Source organism: Homo sapiens, chromosome 14, assembly GCF_000001405.40.
Source record: "Homo sapiens chromosome 14, GRCh38.p14 Primary Assembly".
Taxonomy (NCBI): Eukaryota; Metazoa; Chordata; class Mammalia; order Primates; family Hominidae; genus Homo; species Homo sapiens.
In genome coordinates this window covers 70796585-70819345 of record NC_000014.9, presented here as the reverse complement: position 1 = coordinate 70819345, position 22761 = coordinate 70796585, and the positions used below count along the sequence as shown (strand labels likewise).

Sequence of the window (22761 nt, the reverse complement as noted above, 5' to 3'; positions counted from 1 at the left end):
GAGAATTGCTTGAGCCCAGGGGTTCGAGACAGTCTGGGCAACATAGTGGGACCTTGTCTCTACAAAAAACAAAACAAAGCAAAACAACGACAACAACAAAAATTAGCTGGGTGTGATGGCGCATGCCTGTAGTCCCAGCTACTCAGGAGGCTAAGGTGGGAGAACCGCTTGAGCCCGGCAGGTTGAGGCTGTAATGGGCTGAGATCACGCCATTGCACTCCAGCCTGGGCAACAGAGTGAGACCTTGTCTCAGAAAAAAACAAAAACAAAAACAAAAACAAACCTCTTCAATAGCCTGTCTCATTTAAAGTAAAACCAAAGTCCTCCTTTGACCTGAAGGACCCCATGTGAACAGGCCACCCTACCTCTTATAGCTCTTACTACCCTTGAGTTTGCTATCTTTTCATGAATACACAGGCATTTTCCTGTCTTAGGGCCTTTGCACTACCATGCAGTTTGCCTGAATGCTCTTCCCCTGTATCTGTATGACTGGTTTCCTAAATTCTTTCAGGTGTTTTTACTCAAAAGTCACCTTGTTGGCCGGGTGCCATGGCTCACACCTGTAATCCCAGCACTTTGGGAGACCAAGGCAGGTGGATCACCTGAGGTCAGGAGTTCAGGACCAGCCTGGCCAACAAGGTGAAACCCTGTCTCTACTAAAAATACAAAAATTAGCTGGGCATGGTGGCATGTGCCTGTAGTCTCAGCTACGTGGTGGCTGAGGAAGGAAAATCACTTGAACTGGCAGGCAGAGGTTGCAGTGAGCTGAGATCATGACATTGCACTGCAGCCTGGGCCACAGAGTGAGACTCTATCTCAAAAAAAAAAAAAAAAAAGTCACCAGTCACCTTATCAAGGAGGTTTTCTCTGGCCACTCAGAAAAGTAGCCCCTCCTAACATTTCGTATCCCCCTTCCCTTTTATTTCTTCTTTGCATTTACCCCTCTCTAATCTGGTATTATATATTTTAGTTGCTTACTTTGTTTCCCCCATTAGAACATGAGCTTTATGAAGGGAAGAGATGAAGGGATTTTTGCAGGAAGGGATTTTTGTTTGCTGTGTTCACTATTTTATCTCTAGTGCCTTGAATGGTGCCTGACATGTAGTAGACACGTGTATAAATATTTGGTGAATAAACGAATGAGTAGAATAAAAAACGAAGGACCCCAAATTAGCGCAGACCTTTTAGCAAGTCACTTATCCTCTCTACACTTCAGTTTCTTTGAATGTGAAATTGAGTTTTGCATAAGACAGCTCCGTTTCCCTCCAGCTATGTGCAGACATCCCTGAGTTAACTTGAAAAGCTGGGAGCACAAAGGGTGAAGATTTGGGTTCAAGCCCCAGTAACATCACTTGCCTGAGTCTTAGTTTCCACACTTAGTTAGCCCACACAACAAATTGAAAGGGCTCCACCCAGCGACCGCGAAGGTTATTCTAGTTCTTAACTAGAAAAAGCGTAATTATAAAAGGAAGAAGGCGCCATACCCCTCAATACCACACGGCGGCGCAATGGTCCACCTTTGTCTCTAAGAGGGCACTGCTGTGCCAAGTCCGTTATGAAACAGCCACCACTACCGTGCAATGTGTTATTCAGACAACTGTGACGGTTGCTCATTCCTCAGATCTTATTGGTTTGTTTAAATAACAAAAATATTTAAATTGTTACTGTTTTAGATAAGAAGGCACAACTCTCAAAACCAAAACAGAGAGCTTACGTTTGAGTTCAGTCTTGCCAACGTGATTTAAAGACCAAGGTTTGCCGGGCGCTGTGGCTCACGCCTGTAATCCCAGCACTTTGGGAGGCCGAGGCGGGCAGATCAGCTGAGGTCAAGAGTTCGAGACCACATGGTGAAACCCCGTCTCTACTAAAAATAGAAAAATTAGCTGGGTGTGGTGGGTGGGCGCCTGTAATTCCAGCCACTCGGGAGGTTGAGGCAGGACAATCGCTTGAACCTGGGAAGGCGGAGGTTGCAGTGAGCGGAGATGGCGCCACTGCACTCCAGCCTGGGTGACAGTGTGAGCCTCCGTCTCAATAAATAAATAAATACAGACCAAAACGTTTGAAAAGCTAAAGTCTAAATCCGTGTCAGGTAAGGGGTGCCACAGCCATGCTAACTTAGTCCACATATGTGTCTGCACATAACCAAGAATTTCCCTCCATGAGGTATGAGGGGTGAGGAGTAAAGGGACTGTTTGGATTCCAAGACTTTTGTTTGCTTGGAAGAAGCCGTTAAAGCGTCTAGCAAATAAAAAAGACTGTGAACCTAAGCAAGCCGTTAAGTAACAGGAGTCATTGTCATTATTGTTACTTATTAGTAGTGTCATCCTCAGCTTCTGTTTTCCTTCCTCCACCATCTCTCCAACTAACAATAATGATTTTAGTTTGAATTTTGTATTTAAAAAGATAAAAGTGATTTTGTAGTTCTTTATTACAATTACACAAATATCACATGGTTATTTTTGCTGTAGGAAAAAGAAAAGTAAAATGAAGGTGACATAGTTTGGCCGTCTGTCCCCGCCCCAATCTCTTGTTGAATTGTAATCCCCAATGTGGGAGGTGGGGCCTGGTGGGAGGCGATTGGATCATGGGGGCGGATTTTTCATGCATGGTTTAGCACTATCCCCTTGGTGCTGTCTTCAGGATAGTGAGTTCTCATGAGATGTGATTGTTTAAAAGGGTGTGGCACCTCCCCCGTTACTCTCTCTCTTGTTACTGCTTTCGCCATGTGACGTACCTGCTCCTCGTTGCTTTATGCCAGGATTGGAAGCTTCCTGAGGCCTCCCTAAAATCAGATGCTGCCATGCTTCATGTAAAACTTGAAGAATCGCAAGCCAATTAAACCTCTTTCCTTTATAAATTACCTTTTCTCAGGTATTTCTTTTTTATTTTTATTTTTATTTTTTTTGAGACAGAGTCTTGGTCTGTTACCCAGGCTATCTCAGCTCACTGCAACCTCCGCCTCCTGGGTTCAAACGATTCTCCTGCCTCAGCCTCCCCAGCAGCTGGAACTACAGGCACGCACCACCTTACCTGGCTAATTTTTGTATTTTTAGTAGAGACGGGGTTTCACCATGTTGGCCAGGCTGGTCTCGAACTCCTGACCTCAGGTGATCCACCCGCCTTGGCCTCCCAAAGTGCCGGGATTATAGGCGTGAGCCACCGCGCCTGGCCAGGTATTTCTTCATAGCAATGCAAGAACAGCCTGACACAGAAGGCACTAAAAATTACCCATGCTCCACCACTTAGCTCAGAAATAGCTGTTAAGATTTTTATATTATCCACCCAACACATTTGTAATTATATTTTATAAGGATTTTTACTACTCTTTCATTTATCATTATACTGTACACATTTCCACATCATTAAAATTTTTCATAATTATCAACAATAACATGTTTTTTTATAACCTGTTTAAAATTGACAAAAAGTGTATATATTTATAGTATACAACATGATGTTTTGACATATGTATGCACTGTGGCGTGGTTAAATCAAGCTAATTACCATATGCTTTTCACATACTTATTTTTTTGTGTGGTGAGAACACTTAAAATCTACTACCTTAGCAATTTTAAAGTATAAAATATATTGTTAACTATATTGACCATGGTGTACAATAGATCTCTTGAACTTATTCCTTTTTTCTAACTGGTAACCATCATTTTCCTCTTTTTCTATGAGTTCAACTTTTTTAGATTCCACAAGATCTGTTCCATAAGAGAGTGAGAGTTCATGTGATATTTGTCCTTCTTTGTCTAACGTACTATTCTAATTAGAAAATCAGAATATTTTAATGGTAGAAAATATTAAATAGTATAGGACAAAGAAAAAAAATCACTCCTAATCTCATAATCTAGATTGGTGATAATTGCTGTTCACCTTTTGATATATTTCTTTCAATAATATTAATGCATATATATTTTTCACAAGATTAGGAATGTATTATATATATAGTTCTCTTAATTTTTCAAATTTATTTAAAAATTATTTGAAAATTACAACAGATAGATTTCTTTTTTTTTTCCACTTAACATGATTATTTTCCCAGTCATTTCATGTTCTTCAAAAACCCCGATGATAGGAATAATTTTCTCTTTCCTGAAATCTCTCTTCTTGTGATTGGATCTGTTTGAGGTCCTGGACGGAAAGGCTTGGACGAAGTCCTTGCAGACTCAGCATGGTTGTAAGCAGTATAATTTCAGAGGGCTGTCCCATGGGCTCACTCTGCAACCAGGCTGGATGAAGCAGAAATGATTTGACCTTCACTCCTTAATTAAAGGCTCTGATCATTGTTAAAATGCAACTTGCTCTCCAGAGATGCAACATTCTAAACAGCCACCCCCCCCATAGTTTATTGCTTTTCTGAACTGAGGTTTTCCTAAAAGAGGAAAGATTTCTTACCTTTTTGGTGGTTCAAGCTACATTAACTCATAATTCCTCATAGAGGAATTAAATACTATCAACTGTAATAACATTTACAATTTATTAAGCACTTATTATTATGTATTAGGCACTGCCAGGAGGACCTCTTACTTCATCTAACCTTCACAGCAACCCCATTTTATACAATCTCATGTTACCAACAATGAAACAGAGGCTCAGAGAGGTGAAAGGCCTCCCACAGTCATGACAAGTTGATCAAGACTTGTCTGGGTCTGACTCCACAGGTCTGTTCCATCAGCCCTGCCACATATCTGCCCAAACCATTTGCCTAAAATCATATTTAATGCAAATGGAGTTTATGAAACAGGAACTAGGGCTTCTTTCCTGAAATGGTACACATGAGAGGTGAAAGTGGTGGGCTGGCTCTTTTAGAAAAGGTCAAAGGGGCCAGGCACGGTGGCTCAAACCTGTAATCCCAGCATTTGAAGAGATGGAGGCAGGAGGATCACTTGAGGCCAAGAGTTTGAAGCCAGCCTGGGCAACACAGTGAGTCCTTATCTCTACCAAAAATTAACAAAATTTGCCAGGTGTGGTGGCACGCACCTGTAGTCCCAGCTACTCAGGATGCTGAGGCAGGAGGACCCACTGAGTCCAGGAGTTTGAGGCTGCCATGTGATCAGTGAGCTATGATCGTGCCACTGCTCTCCAGCCTGGGTGACACAGTGAGACCTTGTTTCTTTAAAAAAAAAAAAAAAAAAAGGTAAAAGTCTGCTTGAGGGATTTTTTTTTTTTACATCAAAGTACTAATTTTAAATATTTCCCAAAAGAATCAAGGAAAGGGTGACATTCATTAACTAAGTCACGGTTTAGGCTCAAATAATACCAGTAACTACATGCTAGATTATGTGTTAAGCACATAACATATATAAGATAGGTACAATTATCCCTAATTTCCAGGTGAGGGATCTGGGGCACAGCAGGGTTAACTTGCCTAATGGCACACAGTAAGCATAGATTCAAACTCAGTCAGAAGCCAAGACCCCAAATTCTTCAATAGTCTATGATGCCTGCCCTCTTTCTTCCCTTCCCTCCTTTCTTTCCTTCCTTTTCTCCCCTCCCTGCTTCCTTCCTGTTTTTCTCTTTTTCGTCCTTTCTTTCTTTCCCTCTCCTCCTGCCCTCCCTCCTTCCTTCACCCCTTCCTCTCCTCTCCTTTCTGTTCCTTTTTTTTTTTTTGAGAGAGAGGGTCTCGTTTTGTTACCCAGGCTAGAGTGCAGTGGAGCAATCTCAGCTCACTACAGCCTCAACATCTCTGCTCAAGCGATCCTCCCATCTCAGCCTCCCAAAAGCTAGGACCACAGGCACCACCATGCCTGGCTAATTTTTCTATTTTGTAGAGATGGGGTTTCACCATGTTGCCCAGGCTGGTCTTGAACTCCTCAGCTCAAGTGGTCCACCCATCTCGGCCTCCCAGAGGCCTCTGTTCCTTTTTCCTTCCTTCCTTCTCTCTCTTTCCTTTAGGGAAAACCCTGGGTTCAACTTTCAGTCAAGAGGCCTAGGTGTAATTAAAGAGTGTTTCTTGGGGGTAATGGGCAGGTGAAAGAAGGAAAAAAATATGTTGACTATTTGCTGGGTGTGAGCAGCAAGCTAAGAGCTTCTGCATGTCCTGTCTCATTTAATCCTGTAAACATCCATTAAAACCAGGTATTATTATTACACCTACTTAAAATTGAGGAAACTGAGGTTCAAACTGGTGTCTTGCCCAAAGTCACAGCATTTTTAAAGGACAAAGCCAGGATAAACCATGATCTGTTGACTTAAGTCTAATGCCAACTTGCATCTTGATTGCTATTTTCTCCCTTATGCTATGCTTTTCAGCGTGGTAGAGAAAATGTTTCTTTTTTGGGGTGACATCTGCCAATCCCCTCCTCAAAAACTTCATAGTGGTAAAATCTTGGTAATTCCACCTGACTTTCAAAGTCTTTTACAATCTGCCCTTCTTTTATTTCATCAGTTTTATTTCCCATCACTCCCTTTTTGCATTCTCTCCTCTTCTCTGGATGAAATTTCTATTATTGCTACCCACTACATTAATTTCTATTTCCACATCTTTTATTCTCTATTAATCAGGTTGTACATATCTTTCAATGCCCAACTTAAGCATCTCCTCATCCATTCTAGTCCTCAGGGAAGGCAGTATTTGATCACCCCACAGCCCTACTCAAAACCTTTCAGTGATAATCTTTTACATGCTGAACAAAACCAAGGCTTCTTCGCCTGGGATTCAAGTCAGCCATCCAGTTGCAAAGAAGTACTGAGAGTCAATTATGTGCTAAGCACTCTCTAGGTGCTGGGAGAGCTGTGGAGAACCAGACAGACTGGTTCCTACCCTTATGGTGGATGCACCAGACATTAAATAATTACAAATAATCAATTACATAATTACTAGTGTGAATCAAGTGATTACAGGGCCCTCTACAGTCTGGTCTCAACCTATCTTTTCAGTTCTTTCTCATCCTTCTATTCCATCCAAATGGTCCCCTCTCCATGCTTTCCTACGTCTGTGGCTGTGCCTATTCCCACCCTCCTTTCCTGAACACACTCTTCCCTGCTCCACCCCATTCCCCTCCAGGACCAGTTCTGGTTCTGCTTCTTCCATGCAACCCTGCCAGACAAGTTTAGTCTGAAAGATCTACCCTCATTTGAATTCCTAGCACTTACCCATTCAACAAATATTAACTGAATGACTTGTTGAAATGTTTGATGAATGATTCTTTATGAGATTCTAAACACATGCTATGGTATTAAAGGTTTAAGTTGCACAGGGAATTAGTTTTCCTATTGAGAAGAATCAATGATTTTTCTCCTCTCTTCCCCTCTTCCCAGGGAGTGGGAAGGAATCCACAAAACTAAATAGTAGAACATACGAAATTATGGAGAAGCAAAATGACAATAAACTTACCCAATTACTCATAATCCGACTACTTAGAGACCCACTACTGACATTTTTCTCTTTTTAGTACTTTTTTTCCTGTTTCTGTTTTGCTGTGTGTCTACAGTTTGTAAAACTTTTTTTCCCTCAAGTTAAAAAAAATTCTTTTTTTTGAGACAGGGTCTTGCTTTGTCACCAGATTGGAATGTGGTATAGCAAACACTGTTCACTACAGCCTTGACCTCCTAGGTTCAAGCAATCTTCCTGCCTCAGCCTCTCAAACAGCTGGGACTACAGGCTTGCACCACCATGCCTGGCAAATTTTAACATTTTTTGTAGAGATAGGGGTCTCGCCATGTTGCTCAGGCTGGTCTCCTTCCTGGGCTCAAGTGATCCTCCTGCCTCAGCCTCCCAAACTGCTGAGATTTCAGGCACGAGCCACCATACCCAGTCCTAAGTTAAAATTTTATCAAGACAATTATTTTCTTATGGCCTTTAAAAAAACACAATATACCTCCATCCCCACTCCCTTGCTCTCTGCTGCTTGACAGTGGAATGGTTTTGTCTAAAACAAAACCTAGATAATTTACTCAGACTCATCCATATCTTTTCCAGTTCATGGATCCTATGTATAATAGGAATCTGAGCATTGTTTTAGGTCTTTACTTAAACAGAAATCCTTTTTCAAGACCTACTCTGGATGCTTTTTAGAACAAGCCTCATCTCTCTTCTTCAAGACCTCAAATGTGTGCTATGACTATACAGTGTAGTCATATTGATGAGCGAACCACAGAATGTTCAAACTATGAGGACACAGGATATCTTCCAGTTCACTCCCCTCACTTTAAGAGTACAGTGTTAGGACACCTGCCTGAAGTCATGCAGCTGCCTAGTTATCTTTCCAAATTGCCCCGCTGTCTTTAGTTTGTGTAATAATAAACCCCAAACTAAAATTCAACAAAAGCACTCACCCTTGCTAAATAAATCATGTCTATTCCTACCACTGAAGGGGAAAAGGTAACAAAGTTTGGTAGAAGTTGGGCTAGATCCTTCAGCACTGGCTTATTTAGAAATTTCAGAGGACTAGGTGAGGTGGCTAAGGCCTGTAATCCTAGCACTTTGGGAGGCCGAGGCAGGTGGATGACTTCAGCCCAGAGTTCAAGACGAGCCTGTACTTCCAGCTACTCGGGAGGGTGAGGTGGGAGGATGGCTTGAGCCTAGGATGTTGAGGCTGCAGTGAGCCGAGATTGCGCCACTGCACTCTGGCCTGGACAACAAACTGAGACCCTGGAAGAAAAGAAAAGAAAAGAAAGGAAAAGAAAAGAAAAGAAAAGAAAAGAGAAAAAAAGATCAGAGAACCTTTCTTACTGGAAGTCAACGTTGCCACGACAGGATTAAAGCAAGAAGAAACATTATGGGCCTCCTATCTCGTCCTTAATGTTCAAAACGCAGGGTATAGCAAAGCATATAGGAAGAGGTCGTCCTCACTCGTGAACTCAGCATCGGGTTCTACGTTTATTCTGCTTTGGTTCTTCTTAATCTGACCTCTATAGACTTCGCCACGATCCAAGGTGTAATTCCAACAGGCAAAAGAAGTCTAAGGATTGTCGAAAAGGTGGCTCCCTTCAGACAGACCAAGCCCAATTCATGGCAGCGTTCCCAGCCCCAGTTTGAAGCTCAGTAAGGTGGTCTCTTGCCTTTCTGAATTCTGAAAAAAGAGTGGTATTGGAATCTCTTCTTACCGGAACCCAGGAGAGGGCGAGCTGTGGTGCAGTCCTCATAAAGGGGAGAACTGTAGTTTTCAGAGTTCTAATGAACATCCCAATGGGCCTAAAAGGCTTCAATAAGAGATGAAAGGTTCCGGGTGAGAGTGGGCGTGGGCGAAGCTGATCCCTCTAGGTCGGACTAAGGCAGAGCCAGATCCAAGAGGGAGAATCCAACTGTAAAAGGGATCTGGGGAAGAAAGAGCTCTGTTGGGGGTGCAGCCGGATGAAGAACACCGGTGCTGCTCAGTGCAGCCCCTACCCATCCATGGCAAACAAAGGCAGCTGCCTCCCTTCCAGCCTTTTAGTTTGAATGAAGGCTCAGTATTACCTTTTAGGATCCACCCTTCCCTTCTCACGCACCCAATGAGGCCGGAGCCTCTTCCTGCCGGGAGGTGCTGAACTCTCCCAGGAAACGGACAGGTGCCGCGAGCCAATGGAGGGAGCTGCGGCGGGCCAGTGGGCGGGAAGAGTGGGTCGACCTGGGTTTGAGAATGACAGAGCCCGCAATGGGGGAGGGCACGGTGCGACGGCGGCGCAGGGGGTGAGAGGGACCTGCGAGACGGCCAGCTAGGCTGCCCCAACCACGGCGGAGGAACCGGGGACTGGGCGGCCGCAGCCAATGGGAAGGCAGCGGGCGCGGGGCGGGGCGGGCGTGGGGCGGAGCCCCCTGGGGTCCGCAGGGCTGGGGCGGAGCCAGGCCCGCGTCAGGTGGTCCCGGCGAGCTGGCGGTGCGGGGGGCGGGGCACGGCACGGCGCGGAGAGGAGAGCGGCGGCCGGCTGGCAGCGGCGGGCACCGGCTGCGCGAGCAGGTACCGGCGGCAGAGGTGACGAGGCCGCCCCCGGGGGGGCGAGCGGGCAGGCGGGGACTCGGCCCGCTGCGCCCCTAGGCTGCGCGAAGAGCTCGCGCTCGGCGCTCTTCTCGTACCGCGGTAACAGCGCCGGCGAGCCGGCTCTCCCAGCCCTGCCAGCCCGGGCCCTACCTGCGGCCGCCGTCGTTGGGGGGGGGTCCTCCCAGCTCTGCGGAGGCGCATGAACAATAGGCGGCGGCGGCTCCTGCGGGCGGCGGCGGCCCCGCACCCTATGGATCGGCCGCTCCATGGAGCCCTCCAGAGCGCTTCTCGGCTGCCTAGCGAGCGCCGCCGCTGCCGCCCCGCCGGGGGAGGATGGAGCAGGGGCCGGGGCCGAGGAGGAGGAGGAGGAGGAGGAGGAGGCGGCGGCGGCGGTGGGCCCCGGGGAGCTGGGCTGCGACGCGCCGCTGCCCTACTGGACGGCCGTGTTCGAGTACGAGGCGGCGGGCGAGGACGAGCTGACCCTGCGGCTGGGCGACGTGGTGGAGGTGCTGTCCAAGGACTCGCAGGTGTCCGGCGACGAGGGCTGGTGGACCGGGCAGCTGAACCAGCGGGTGGGCATCTTCCCCAGCAACTACGTGACCCCGCGCAGCGCCTTCTCCAGCCGCTGCCAGCCCGGCGGCGAGGACCCCAGTTGCTACCCGCCCATTCAGTGTAAGGCGAAGGCGGGGCCGGGCGGGGAGGGGGAATGACGGAGGCCTGGGGGGCGGTCGGGGAAGGGGGGAGCACTGCGCGAGGGCTGGGATGAGGGCGGGGGGTGGGGAGGACGATTGACCTGGGTGTGGGTGGCGCGCGCTTAGGCTGCCCGGGCTTTGCTTGCTGGATAAGCTCGAGACGCCTCAGGCCCTGCCCGCACTTCAGACGCTTGGGCTTCTTCACCTTCAGTTGGCCACCTCAGCAGTGGCTCCCGATTTCCACATCCTGAAGTCCCAGTCTGAGAATTTGCCAGTTTCCCAGTCCCTTCTCTTACCCACCCCCCCGCCGCCCCCCATTCCCAATCTGGAAGTGTTTATGGCAAGATGGTGGTTAGTGTCCTAGCCTTAGTCCCCAAATCAGGGACCTTGCCACCACCTCTTCTAACGCCTGTCCCCGCCTCCTAAAGGCATTTGCTTTCAAAGAGATGGGGGTGTCTCCGCAGGGCTGAGCTGGCTCACAAGTCCCGGAAGCATGTGTGAACTCAAGGCTCAGTTGCCTGTAAAATGTCGGGTTGATTTCTTGGATCCTATTTCTTATATCTCAGAAGTTGTACCTTTAGGAGTCTCACTGATTAATGTGCTAAGAGGGATGTGTGTGTTGAGAGTGGGGGTGAGACAAGTGATGATTAGAGAGGAAAAAGTATGTCGTTCCCCCATGGGAGATCAGGATTGCAAGGTACAGTGGCTGAATCCCAGTCCTTTGACAGTGAGGCTGTTTGGGAAATACATTTTCTTCTTTCTTCTCATTCTAGATCCTTGCCTATCTTTGGAACTGGTCAAATCTCAGGGGGACCATGCTCAGGGGTCCCTCCCAGGGCCTTTCTCCCAGTGTCCTGGTTTCCGTCAATTTTCCAGGAGCCCCATATTTCATACCCTATAATGAAATCTTCTTTTTTTTTCAAGGGAGTTAAATTGCCATCACAATCCCTTAATCATACTAGTTTATTTCAGAAAAAAACATGTAAATATCTCTTTAGTGCAGTTTACACTATTTTGTATTTGAGAGTTTCCATAATCTCTTATCTGTTAAAAAGGTATTGTTAATATGTATTAATTACTGTTTATTCCTTATTTTGTATACTTTCATCTTAGTTGATTTTTTAAAACGTCATTAGCAAGGACCAACTTTAAATATTTAAATATTAAGATTTCCTTTGTAACAGTTACGTTTTTGGCTCTGTAAGTTATTTTTTACCCCAGCAATTGTGTTACTTTAATCTTGAGTTTTTTTGTTTTTTTGAGACAGTCTCGTTGTCTCCCAGGTTGGAGTTCAGTGGTGCAATCTCAGCTCACTGCAACCTCTGCCTCCCGGGTTCAAGCAATTCTCCTGCCTCAGCCTCCTGAGTAGCTGGGATTACAGGCGCCCGCCACCATGCCTGGCTAATTTTTGCATTTTTAGTAGAGATGAGGTTCACCATATTGGCCAAACTGGTCTCGAACTCCTGACCTCAAGTGATCCGCACGCCTCGGCCTTCCAAAGTGTTGGATTACAGGCGTGAGCCACCGTGTCTGGCCTATCTTTAGATGTTTTTTAAAAACTAGCACATAATATCAAAATCATAGCCTCTTCGCTTGTTTTTCTGCTCTTCTTTTTCTGTTGGTGTTTTGACTATCAAATCGATGTTCAAATCTTTAGGTTCCCCCTCTCCCTCTCATTCAGTTTAAAACTTCATTTTTCTTCATTTTGATCTTTAAAATGCCTGGAGGTAGCAAATTACTTTAAATTGTTTCCAGATACTACATCTTTTTGGGACTAGTTTGGTAGCCTTAAGGCTAAGCATCCTGGCATAGTGTTTTGAAAGTGTTGAAAATGAACTTGGTCATATATTGGAAGAAATATGAATAGCCTGGCATGTTAGAAAACAGTGTCATTTTAAACATAAGTCAGATTTTGATTCTGTGGGTGAAGTTTTGTGATTTTGTTTTCAGGGACAGCTAATGTCAAAGCAGAAGAGCTAGGTGAGGTTCGTGATCAGGAACTCGGTTTCTTCAATATCTTGTGCTCTGGCTGCTAGAGCAGTCAAGAGTCAGTATGACTTAGGCTGAAAAACTGTCCACAGAGCTAGGCATGGCAACAGCGTGCTACTTTTTCATTTGGTGGCCAGGACTTATCTTCATTGTCATACAAGTTATCTTGGATAGAGTGGATTCCTAAATCTGGAACCCAGATGTTGAGAAAGTAGGAAGTAACTTGTTCTAATGGAAAGAATTAACTTGAAGAATATGGCATTTGAAAGACCTGACACGTTCTTTTATTTGGCCTCACTAGGAGTTCTGATCTTGACTAGAATTAATTTTTGATAATTCAGAAAATTTAGTTTCAGTCAAAAACTAATTATTGAGTACCTAGTGAGTGATAGATACTGTACACTGTGTTAAGTACCAGGACATAAAGAAGTGATAAGATCAGAAGTTGCTTATAAGTTACATGAGGGAGATTAAGTATGTAAATATAAAACTTCAGTGCAGTGCCTTGGTTCATCAGAGGGTGAACATGGGCGGTCATTGAAGTCTATGTGCTCTACCAGATCAGTTTGTGTCACTCGGAAAGTGAAGACGATTGACAAACCTTGTCTCCGAAGACTTGGAATGAAATTGAGCCACTGACACTTCATCGCCAGAGTTACCCTTTTGAACTTCTCCTCTGAGCATGTGTTGTGACGTTGCATTCTGGACCATGAATAGAAGACATTAAGTCAAGCAATACTGTTCAGCTTTAGTTTCATATTATTGCTTCTTAAAGTGAAAATTTAGCTTCAAACTTTATTTAAAAGCTTTTTTTGTTTTTTTAATTTTTAGAGACAGGTTTTCACTCTGTCGCCCAGGCTGAAGTGCAGTGGCATAATCATAGCTCATTGCAACCTTGAACTCCTGGGCTCAAGAGATCCTCCCACCCCAGCCTCCCAAAGAAGCTGGGACCAGAGGCGCATGCCACCATGCCCAGCCAATTATTTTTATTTACTTTTTTAACAGAGGTGAGGTCTTGCTTTGTTGCCCAGGCTGGTTTCAAACTCTTGGCTTCAATCATTCCTCCCACCTCAGCCTTCCAGAGTGTTGGGATTATAGGCATAAGCCACTGTATCTGGCCTCAAACTTTATTCAAAACAGAAGGGGAAATTACTAAATATTATGACAAAGAAAACATATAAAAATGATATTATAAATCATTTTACATTCATATAATGCTTTAATCCTCTCCATTGTAGGTACTTGTTAGAGTTTAGCTGTCTATGGATGACAAGTATAAATAACCCAGGAGCTCATCCATCGTCTTTATTTTAGTGAAAGATGAAAAATGTACAGTTCCAAACTCATTATCTTGGGAGATGCAATCCTAGGTATTATATGAAAGTTTCTCTAACAAGAGAGTTGTTTCAGTTTTCAAACAGGGCATACATTAAGGTTATTAGTTTATGTTTTTTATTATCTACATCCACTAGAAATAGAAGGACATATTTTCAGATGTACCTAAGATTTTTGAGTGAAGTATATAACATTCACTTACTCAAAACCCACCAAAATATGCCTAAACATTCAGTTTCCAAGCATACGATTGAGAGGGAATAACATCTTGACTTTAAAAATGGAAGAACTAAGGATTTATTCCTGATATTCCTGGAAATATCCTTCCACAGAAACTGAAAAATGTGCTGAATGCAGCTTGACCTGATTCTTACTTAAAACCAGGTCTTGACTGGAGCAGGGAAGGGAAGGAGAGCCCCACATACTCTGCTGCAGCTGAAGGTCTAGTTCCTTCGTTCCTATCCACAGGGACTGAGCAGGGAAGGAAAAAGAAGGTCCTTCCTCCCTCCCTTCTTTCTGGGTTCTGTCTTTTATCTGCTTGAAAGTTGTGTTCTATACTTTTCTTGGAGTCAGGTCATAATATTTGCTTAACTAAATAGCAAGAACCTGAGATTTTTATGTTCTACTCAAAGAGAGGTTATTGCTTTCCCTTCCCTGCAGAGGTTTTTAGAGGAGCTGTCCTTTCAGCACCCTAGTACTGAATCATGTCTTTTAAACCTCCCTGCATTTATTTTTTCAATCCCTCCTGCATTTAAATGAATATTTAACACCTACTGTGTGTTTACAACTATGCTTAAGACTGGAGGAAAGAAGGGAGGGTACAAGAGAAAGTACAATAGTTAAAATTCCCTTAAGGAGAATTCAGATACTCAGTTGAGGAAATAAGAAAACAGATACAAATTTGTTAAGTAATCACACATCTTTTCATATGTGTAAAAGCTGCTAGAAAAACATGAATGTTCCTCCCTCCATGACCAGGAAGACTCTTAACATGTATTTCTCCAAGAGAGTTTCTAATCTTTCTTTATAACATAGGCATATTTTTCTCATTCATATAGATGACATCAGGCACAAGTTAGTAATAAGTCTGGATTCATTCTGGGGCTCAGAAACTCTCAAGCTATTTTGAGCAAGAAAGAGATTTAGCACAGGAAATTCTGTGCTTGCAGAATTGTTGGAAGGGCTGAGAGAAGAGGCTCTCAGCTGGACCTATGTGAACAACTCCCAGAACATAGCAGAACTGGCCCACCAGGTCAGCTGCTACTTCTCTAATTGGGAACATACAGAATCAGGAGCTGCCATTGAAGCTGTTGGCTTCAAAAACACCCTGTTGTGTCTGCAGCCCAGAGATTAGGCAACCACTTGGCTATGAAACATTCCTCTCCACATCTACAGACTTAGTGATTGGACACCAACATGCTGATGCAAAAAATCCCTGCAGCAAGAACATGGTCTTCATCTCACTTCTGCCTTTCAAATATTGTGCATCTAATTGGCAGAATTTAATCTGCATTCAGAACTTTAGCTGTAAAGGAGTCTGGGAAATGTAGTTTTTAGCTTCCTAGCCTCTGTAGTACTGAAATTTGTGCTAGAAGGATTATGGAATGGATGCCGATTGCTAGTCTACAATGTTCTGCCATGACATTCATTCTTCAGGAAGATTGCTGGATAAGGTGATAACCTCTTTAAACAGTTGGAATTTTGAGGTCAGGATGGGCTATACTTTTTGTATATCTAAAGACTATCCACTAACATCCACCTAAGAGTTTCCTTTGTGCAGACTGCCAGTTGCATTACAAAATACAGATGGGCTAACCTCAGATGGGATAGAGGTGCTATAATTAAGCAAGAACAGATTTTTTAGCACCACCAGCATCTGAGTGGAGAACGGAGGCGTTACAGGGCTGGCTGAGTAAGGAAGGGAATAGTCAGCAGTGGCAGTTCCTCTTTTGGTCTTGCCAAAAGTTCAGAAATGTATCTTTGTTTTCTTAGTTTTTTTTTTTTCAGTGAAGTGTGATTATTTTCTGTATTTGTTTCAGAAGGTCTAGTTCCAGTTCAGTTTTTTTTTTTTTTTTTTTTTTTTTAAGATCTGAATTTGGTTTATTTCCTCCTGAGATAGTGTGTTAGTCCATTCCTGCATTGCTATGAAGGAATACCTGAGGCTGGGTAATTTATAAAGAAAAAAAGTTTAACTGGCTCACGGTTCTGCAGCCTGTACGGGAAGCATGGCACCAGCATCTGCTTGGCTCTGGTGAGGCCTCAGGGAGCTTTTATTCATGGCGGAAGGTGAAGTGGGAGCAGGCATGTCACGTGGTGGGAGCCAGGAGCAAGAGAGAAAAACCAGATAGGTGTCACACTCTTTTAAACAACCAGATCTTGTGTGAATTCGAGCAAGAACTCACTCATTACTGTGAGGAGGGTGCCAAGCCATTCATGGGGGATCGGCCCTCATGACCCAAACACCTCCCACCAGGCCCCACCGCCAGCACTGGGGCTTACATTTCAACATGAAAATCAGAGGGTTCAAATATCCAAACCATATCAAGTAGATTTTTTTTCCATTTTATTTCAAGGATCTCTTGGTTACCTACAAAATGTTTGGCATGGCAAGTGCAGTGGTGAATAGGGCAGACAGAATCTCTGCCCTTGTGGGTCTCATAATCTGGCCTGGACAATAGGCATTGAACAAGTAATTAAGTAATTATAATCTTGATGCCTCTTGTGGAATGGAAACTGCCATGGAAGTGTTTGATAGGGGCCTGACCTCATTTGGTCTTGGTGATGGAGAAGTTCCACTATGAAACTGATATTTAAGACCTGAGGTATGAGTATGAATCAGCCAGGTAAAGACAAAAGAAAAAAGAAGATAGAGAACAGGGTTTCATGCAAGAAACAAAACACACTTTGCTCATATAGCACTTAGCACCACATGTAGCTCGCTTTATAATCACTGGCAGCTATTATTATCTACCCATGAAAGCCTTTCCACACACAACAAAATATATAATCAAGTACCTTAGGTTCAAATTCTGGATTTGGGAAGGAGAATGATTGGTTGGGATACTGGGTGGGATACTGGGATCATCAGGGCTTGAACTGAGGCACAGATGACTGCTGGAGTAAGATATCTCTTATGAGGCTCCTTTCCCATGTTTCAGTCTCCAGGTCCAGGTAGAACCAAGTTCTGAAAGTCTCCCAAATTGACTGCGTACTCCCTATATTCACTGCTGCTGAGGTTCAGACCTCTGAGCTGCAAGGCCTCCTTAGGGGGTCCTTTTGCTGTTGGGTCTGTGTCCTCCAGGTTAGTTTCCAGTGGCTGCCAGAGTTGATTTCCTTTCTAAATTACAGGTCTAACAACATTCCTTTTCTGAAAGATACATGACTCCTCTTGTTTACAATGTGATGTTCAAGCCCCTCAGAATGGCTTTAAAGACATTTCCTGGCCTGGTTACCCTCAACAAGGCTTTGAGCCTCGTCTCCAATCCTGATGCACATGACCTGGCCACAGCAGACTCCCTGGAGGTCCTAATATACCGTATACTTCGTACTCCATGTTCTTGGCTCCTGTCCTTCCGTCTGCCTGATTGTCCTTCCCTGCCCTGATTTCCTTCATCGCCTGAGATCTCTCCCACTCACTCTTTAGGGCCAATTTCAAATGTTGCCTTCCCTGAGAATCCTTTCCCCACTCACCCCCTTAGTGCTCTGTGCTGCTGTGGGAGCTAGTGATTTTCCTAAGCCTCTAATCATACTTCTGCAGAAGCTCTTCTCATCCTATGGTTTGGTTGTTGGGTGTCTGCCTTGGCACTGAGTTGGGTGCTTCTCACCACTGAGTACACAGTAAAGCTGAGTAAGTCTCAAAGAAAGGATCTCGGCCAGGTGCAGTGGCTCATGCCTGTAATCCCAGCACTTTGGGAGGCCGAGGCTGGAGGATTGCTTGAGCTCAGGCATTCAAGACCAGCCTGGGCAACATGGCAAAACCCCATCTCTATATTTAAATGTATTTTAAAGGAAGAAAGAAAAGAAAAAAAAGGACCTCTCCCATATTCCCTTTAGTGACAATAGTTGGTTTTGGTACAGGATTCTGCATGATTTTCCAGGTGGGATTTTTTTTCATGAATGTTTATAGAATGCCTACCATGTGGTGACTGTCACTAAGGAAAATGCAAAGGAAAATAAGTTGATTGCAGTTCCTGCCCTTATGGAATTTGCTTTATAATGGGGAGACAGAAAGGCCCAGTAAACAGACAACTTGCCGTGTTTACCCACTCAGGTAAATGAAAGGTTAAATACGATGTTTTCAAGATGTTTTTGACTTGCTTCTTTTTTTCTTCCCTTTCTCAGTGTTAGAAATTGATTTTGCGGAGCTCACCTTGGAAGAGATTATTGGCATCGGGGGCTTTGGGAAGGTCTATCGTGCTTTCTGGATAGGGGATGAGGTTGCTGTGAAAGCAGCTCGCCACGACCCTGATGAGGACATCAGCCAGACCATAGAGAATGTTCGCCAAGAGGCCAAGCTCTTCGCCATGCTGAAGCACCCCAACATCATTGCCCTAAGAGGGGTATGTCTGAAGGAGCCCAACCTCTGCTTGGTCATGGAGTTTGCTCGTGGAGGACCTTTGAATAGAGTGTTATCTGGGAAAAGGATTCCCCCAGACATCCTGGTGAATTGGGCTGTGCAGATTGCCAGAGGGATGAACTACTTACATGATGAGGCAATTGTTCCCATCATCCACCGCGACCTTAAGTCCAGCAACAGTGAGTATGAAGAGATGGGGCTGGAGGGGCTCAGAGCAGTTGCAGTTGTATCCCACGACGTCAGTAGGAGTGGACTTCTAATGGAACCTTAGAGGGCAGTGAAACTCCTTGCTTAAACACATTCCATCCTTGAATGGAGATGTAGGAGGTGAGATGAGTGCCAAGAAAGATTGGTTTAGGAAGAGAGGAAAGAGGCGCCTGAGGAGTTTGGGATAATTTTGAGCTTTTTTTTTTAGCAGTCTAGAGTGGCCTTCCCTACTATTTTTCCACATATCAGAATGTGTAATTCTGATATGCTGTGCACAAAACTTGTGGGAAGTGTGAATATTATCACAAAAGGGATTTTCCTCTTTGTGGAACAAGAGGTAGAGCAAGCCTTTATTATCTGTTTGAATGTTTACCTAAACACCTCAACTTGAGATACCCATCACAGAAGGGACTGTAAGAAGAGAATGCTATTCTTTAAACTGTGAGCTGATTCAGGTGGTGATGTCCATTTGGAGAGCATGACTTCCTGGTAATATCACCAACCTCCTGGTAGCCCAAGGGTGGTATTAATTAAATGCCATAATTACCTAGTGTTTAATAGCAGGGAACTGAGAAGTAACTCTTTATTAAATATCCAGAATCCATAAACTGGATTTAAAGCAAGTGTTAAATATTAAATGGTGAGTTGGTAGAAGCTCCAGTCCTTCACGTTGGCTGACTCAGCAGGGCTAGGAATACGCTTCTTTTCTGTGGTAGTTTGTGCTCTCTCTTGCCTAAACTGGGTGGTAAAGAGGACACAATTGCATAATGGTATGTACTTAAAATCACTTGGAGCATCCTGTCCCAGAGAGGAGGGCATTTGAGTTGAAGGACTTTGGGTGGGGGAAGCATGGGCCCCCAGGGACTTCACTCTCTTTGCATCCTTCAGCTTTGAGCCTGGAAATCCTTCAGACTTTGTTTTGCTCCAGGCTGTTCCAGATGTGGTTTATTTTTCTGTTGATACTATGGTGAATCTGTTTACTTTAAAAACTACATTTTAAGGCCAGGCGCGGTGGCTCACGCCTGTAATCCCAGCACTTTGGGAGGCCAAGGCGGGCAGATCATGAGGTCAGGAGATCGAGACCATCCTGGCTAACACGGTGAAACCCCGTCTCCACTAAAAATACAAAAAATTAGCCGGACATGGTGGCGGGAGCCTGTAGTCCCAGCTACTCGGGAGGCTGAGGCAGGAGAATGGTGTGAACCCGGGAGGTGGAGCTTGCAGTGAGCCGAGATTGTGCCTCTGCACTCCAGCCTGGGTGACAGAGCGAGACTCCATCTCAAAAAAACAAACAAAAAAACTACATTTTAAAATTATGTAAGTAGTGGTGGGGTGCAGTGGCTCATGTCTGTAATCCCAGCACTTTGGGGAAGCTGAGGCTTGAGGGCGAAGAGGATTGCTTGAGCCCAGGAGTTTGAGACCAGCCTGGGCAACATAGCGAGACCCCATCTCTTAAAAAAAATTATGTAAGTAGTAAGTGTCTATTGTAGAAAATTAGAAAGTGCAGCTAAAAAGAAGAGGAAGTTAACCTATAATGTTTCCCTTTAGAGAGAACAACTATTACATTTGGCATATCCTTCCCGACATTTTTAAAGCGTATCTGGTTTATGCATATACAAATATACATTTATCTTTTCTACCTGTGTTCTTTTCCCCCTTAATAATAGAAAAACTCCTTCTTGTAAGGGTATGGAACATTAGATATGTATTTTAGATATGATGCATGTGAAGTATTTAAGTTACGTAAAAAATCTGGTTTCTCTTTTTCCCTTTGCCATTTTCCTGTCTCTTTATCATGATGATTTTCATCCCCGCCCCACCCCCACTCAAATTCTATTCTTTAAATAAATTAAAACTTTTGGGCCGGGCGCGGTGGCTCACGCCTGTAATCCCAGCACTTTGGGAGGCCGAGGCGGGCGGATCACGAGGTCAGGAGATCGAGACCATCCCGGCTAAAACGGTGAAACCCCGTCTCTACTAAAAATACAAAAAATTAGCCGGGCGTAGTGGCGGGTGCCTGTAGTCCCAGCTACTTGGGAGGCTGAGGCAGGAGAATGGCGTGAACCCGGGAGGCGGAGCTTGCAGTGAGCCGAGATCCCGCCACTGCACTCCAGCCTGGGCGACAGAGCGAGACTCCGTCTCAAAAAAAAAAAAAAAAAAAAAAAAACTTTTGGTGACCTCTTTTCAAAGTAATTTCTACCTAGAGATTGCTTATATTGCTGGAAAATGTGATGGAGAAGCTGAATTTTCTTTATTTTACTTTTTCTAATATTTTTATCATGTTGAGAGAAGTAGGCAAAGTACTGTAAAGTTACATAATTGAACCCATTTAGAAAGTTGGGCTAGGATAACAAAGTTGTAAAAGTTAATAGTTTACTTGATGAAGTTTTGAATTTGAGTATAATTTTAAGCTCTTCATACACGTTTTTACCTCTTATGAGATTTGTATTTAGGAGTGGAGGCTCTTATGCAGGAAAAGTTACCCTGTTAAGGTTCTGCTGTTTGTAGGAGAGGGCAAGAGACCTGAGTGTCATTCTGTTATTCAGGAGACAAAACTCTGGTCCTTTCTTTTTCCTTATGTGGGTTTTAGGATTGCCAAGGGGAGCCATCAGGATTGCAGAAGTTGTATAATACTTAAACATTCGGCAGTATTTTAAAGGACATTCTCAATACAGTTGCTGCCCAGTAATGTTTATGGTCCATTGGACTGCATGGTTGGCGCTGATGTTGATGCTAGTTGTAAATCTTACATGTGTGGTGGGGTAGCACTTTGACGTTTGTCTGTGGGTGGATGTTTGCCAAGGATTGTATACGTCTAATATGAGCCTCGATGATACCACCATTCTTACTCCATTGCAATGTGTACATGACTTGAAAATGATTGTATTTTATTTATTTATTTTTTTTAGAGACAGGGTCTCACTTTGTCACCCGGGCTGGAGTGCAGTGGTGTGATCTTTGCAACCGCCGCCTCCCAGGTTCAAGTAATTCTCCTGCCTCGGCCTCCTGAGTAGCTGGGATTACAGGAGACTGCCACCACACCTGGCTAATTTTTGTATTTTTAGTAGAGGTGGGGTTTCGCCATGTTGGCCAGCCTGGTCTCGAACTCCTGACCTCAGGTGATCCACCTGCCTCAGTCTCTCAAAGTTCTGGGACTACAGGCGTGAGCCAGTGCACCAAGCCTTTTTTTAAAAAATTTTATTATTATTATTATTATTATTTTAATAGAGATGGGAGTCTTGCTTTGTGGCCCAGGCTTAAAATTATCTTAGAAGTGTTATGCCACTTCTTTGCCCATTGCCTCCAGCTTGGGAGCCATAACTTCTTTGTATTTTATAGACTTGGGAACACTGGTTTGTTTTCCTTGCTTTGTTAAGGGTTCCAGAGAATTGGATTTTGGTCATTGTCATGTGAGGGCAGAATACTAGGAATTATATGTGTTAGTTGACTTTGACCATTCGAGAAAAGAGTATGTATACACAGGAGCTGTCTTTGTGGGAAAGAGAAAGCAGTTGATGATAAACCCCTAGCTGTTAGAAAGGTTCAGTAAAAAGTGTCTTATTAAAATGTTTTATTATCTTGGTCATCTACTTTAAAAAGTCATTTGCAGTTTACTGGCAGTGAAACGCGTATGGCATATAGTATCCTATGTTGATACAGAATCTGCATTGAGTTTAGATTGACCGTACGTAGCCCGAAAAGCCAAACCAAATAACAGCGGCTAAACAAGGTCTACACTGACTTGTCTTTGAAAAGAAGCCCGGAGGATTTTAGGGCAGCTCCATATTGTCATCTGGGACCCAGGCTCCTATTTTTCACTCCCTCATCCCAGTACTTGGCTTCCATCCTCATTGTCACCCTGTGGTCCAGATGGCTGCTGGACTGCCAGTTATGAGGTCCAAGTCACAGGCCTGAAGGATGAGGGGAAGCAGAAGCACAGAAAAGGTGCCCCATGTGGCTGAGTTGGCTCCCATTAATCTCCCGGAAGTCCAGCATGGCGTATGTGCTTGTGTTAATTGGACAGAGTGTGGTCGCCTGGCCATCACTCGCTGGA

General features: G+C 44.3%; 1 protein-coding gene and 1 long non-coding RNA gene across 11 annotated transcripts in view, besides 5 other annotated features; one reads left to right on the top strand and one right to left on the bottom strand.

Annotated features, from left to right (window-relative positions):
• Nucleotides 1320-1614: an enhancer, noted in NCBI's record as "tiled regions #11364 and #13366 (exact overlaps); HepG2 Activating DNase matched - State 12:CtcfO, and K562 Activating DNase matched - State 12:CtcfO". NCBI's record gives its function as "activates a minimal TATA promoter and a strong SV40 promoter by Sharpr-MPRA in HepG2 cells, with weaker activation in K562 cells {active_cell/tissue: HepG2 | K562}" and the evidence as "EXISTENCE:reporter gene assay evidence [ECO:0000049][PMID:27701403]".
• On the bottom strand, nucleotides 3298-10562 carry MAP3K9-DT (MAP3K9 divergent transcript). 7 transcript variants are annotated; one of them, NR_184167.1, is made up of 4 exons: nucleotides 9407-9446; nucleotides 9055-9265; nucleotides 4987-5119; nucleotides 3298-4235 (listed from the first exon to the last, which is right to left on the bottom strand). It is a non-coding gene; the product is annotated as an MAP3K9 divergent transcript (long non-coding RNA). The 7 variants fall into 7 exon arrangements; NR_184163.1 differs by lacking the exons at nucleotides 4987-5119; nucleotides 9407-9446 and adding an exon at nucleotides 10059-10562; NR_184168.1 differs by lacking the exon at nucleotides 4987-5119.
• Nucleotides 9632-10271: a silencer, noted in NCBI's record as "silent region_5891". NCBI's record gives its function as "represses an Ori minimal core promoter by ATAC-STARR-seq in GM12878 lymphoblastoid cells {active_cell/tissue: GM12878}" and the evidence as "EXISTENCE:reporter gene assay evidence [ECO:0000049][PMID:35858748]".
• Nucleotides 9833-22761, top strand: part of MAP3K9 (mitogen-activated protein kinase kinase kinase 9) — an 86988-nt gene continuing 74059 nt past the window's right edge. For all 4 annotated transcript variants that reach the window (XM_005267683.6, NM_001284230.2, NM_033141.4 and 1 more), the window contains exons 1-2: nucleotides 9833-10580; nucleotides 18266-18679. In XM_005267683.6, coding sequence (XP_005267740.1) covers nucleotides 10175-10580; nucleotides 18266-18679 — 820 coding nt within the window. In that variant the 5' untranslated portion in view covers nucleotides 9833-10174. The remainder of the gene's footprint in view (nucleotides 10581-18265; nucleotides 18680-22761) is intronic.
• Nucleotides 11212-11271: an enhancer, noted in NCBI's record as "active region_8666". NCBI's record gives its function as "activates an Ori minimal core promoter by ATAC-STARR-seq in GM12878 lymphoblastoid cells {active_cell/tissue: GM12878}" and the evidence as "EXISTENCE:reporter gene assay evidence [ECO:0000049][PMID:35858748]".
• Nucleotides 15632-15721: an enhancer, noted in NCBI's record as "active region_8665". NCBI's record gives its function as "activates an Ori minimal core promoter by ATAC-STARR-seq in GM12878 lymphoblastoid cells {active_cell/tissue: GM12878}" and the evidence as "EXISTENCE:reporter gene assay evidence [ECO:0000049][PMID:35858748]".
• Nucleotides 15802-15901: an enhancer, noted in NCBI's record as "active region_8664". NCBI's record gives its function as "activates an Ori minimal core promoter by ATAC-STARR-seq in GM12878 lymphoblastoid cells {active_cell/tissue: GM12878}" and the evidence as "EXISTENCE:reporter gene assay evidence [ECO:0000049][PMID:35858748]".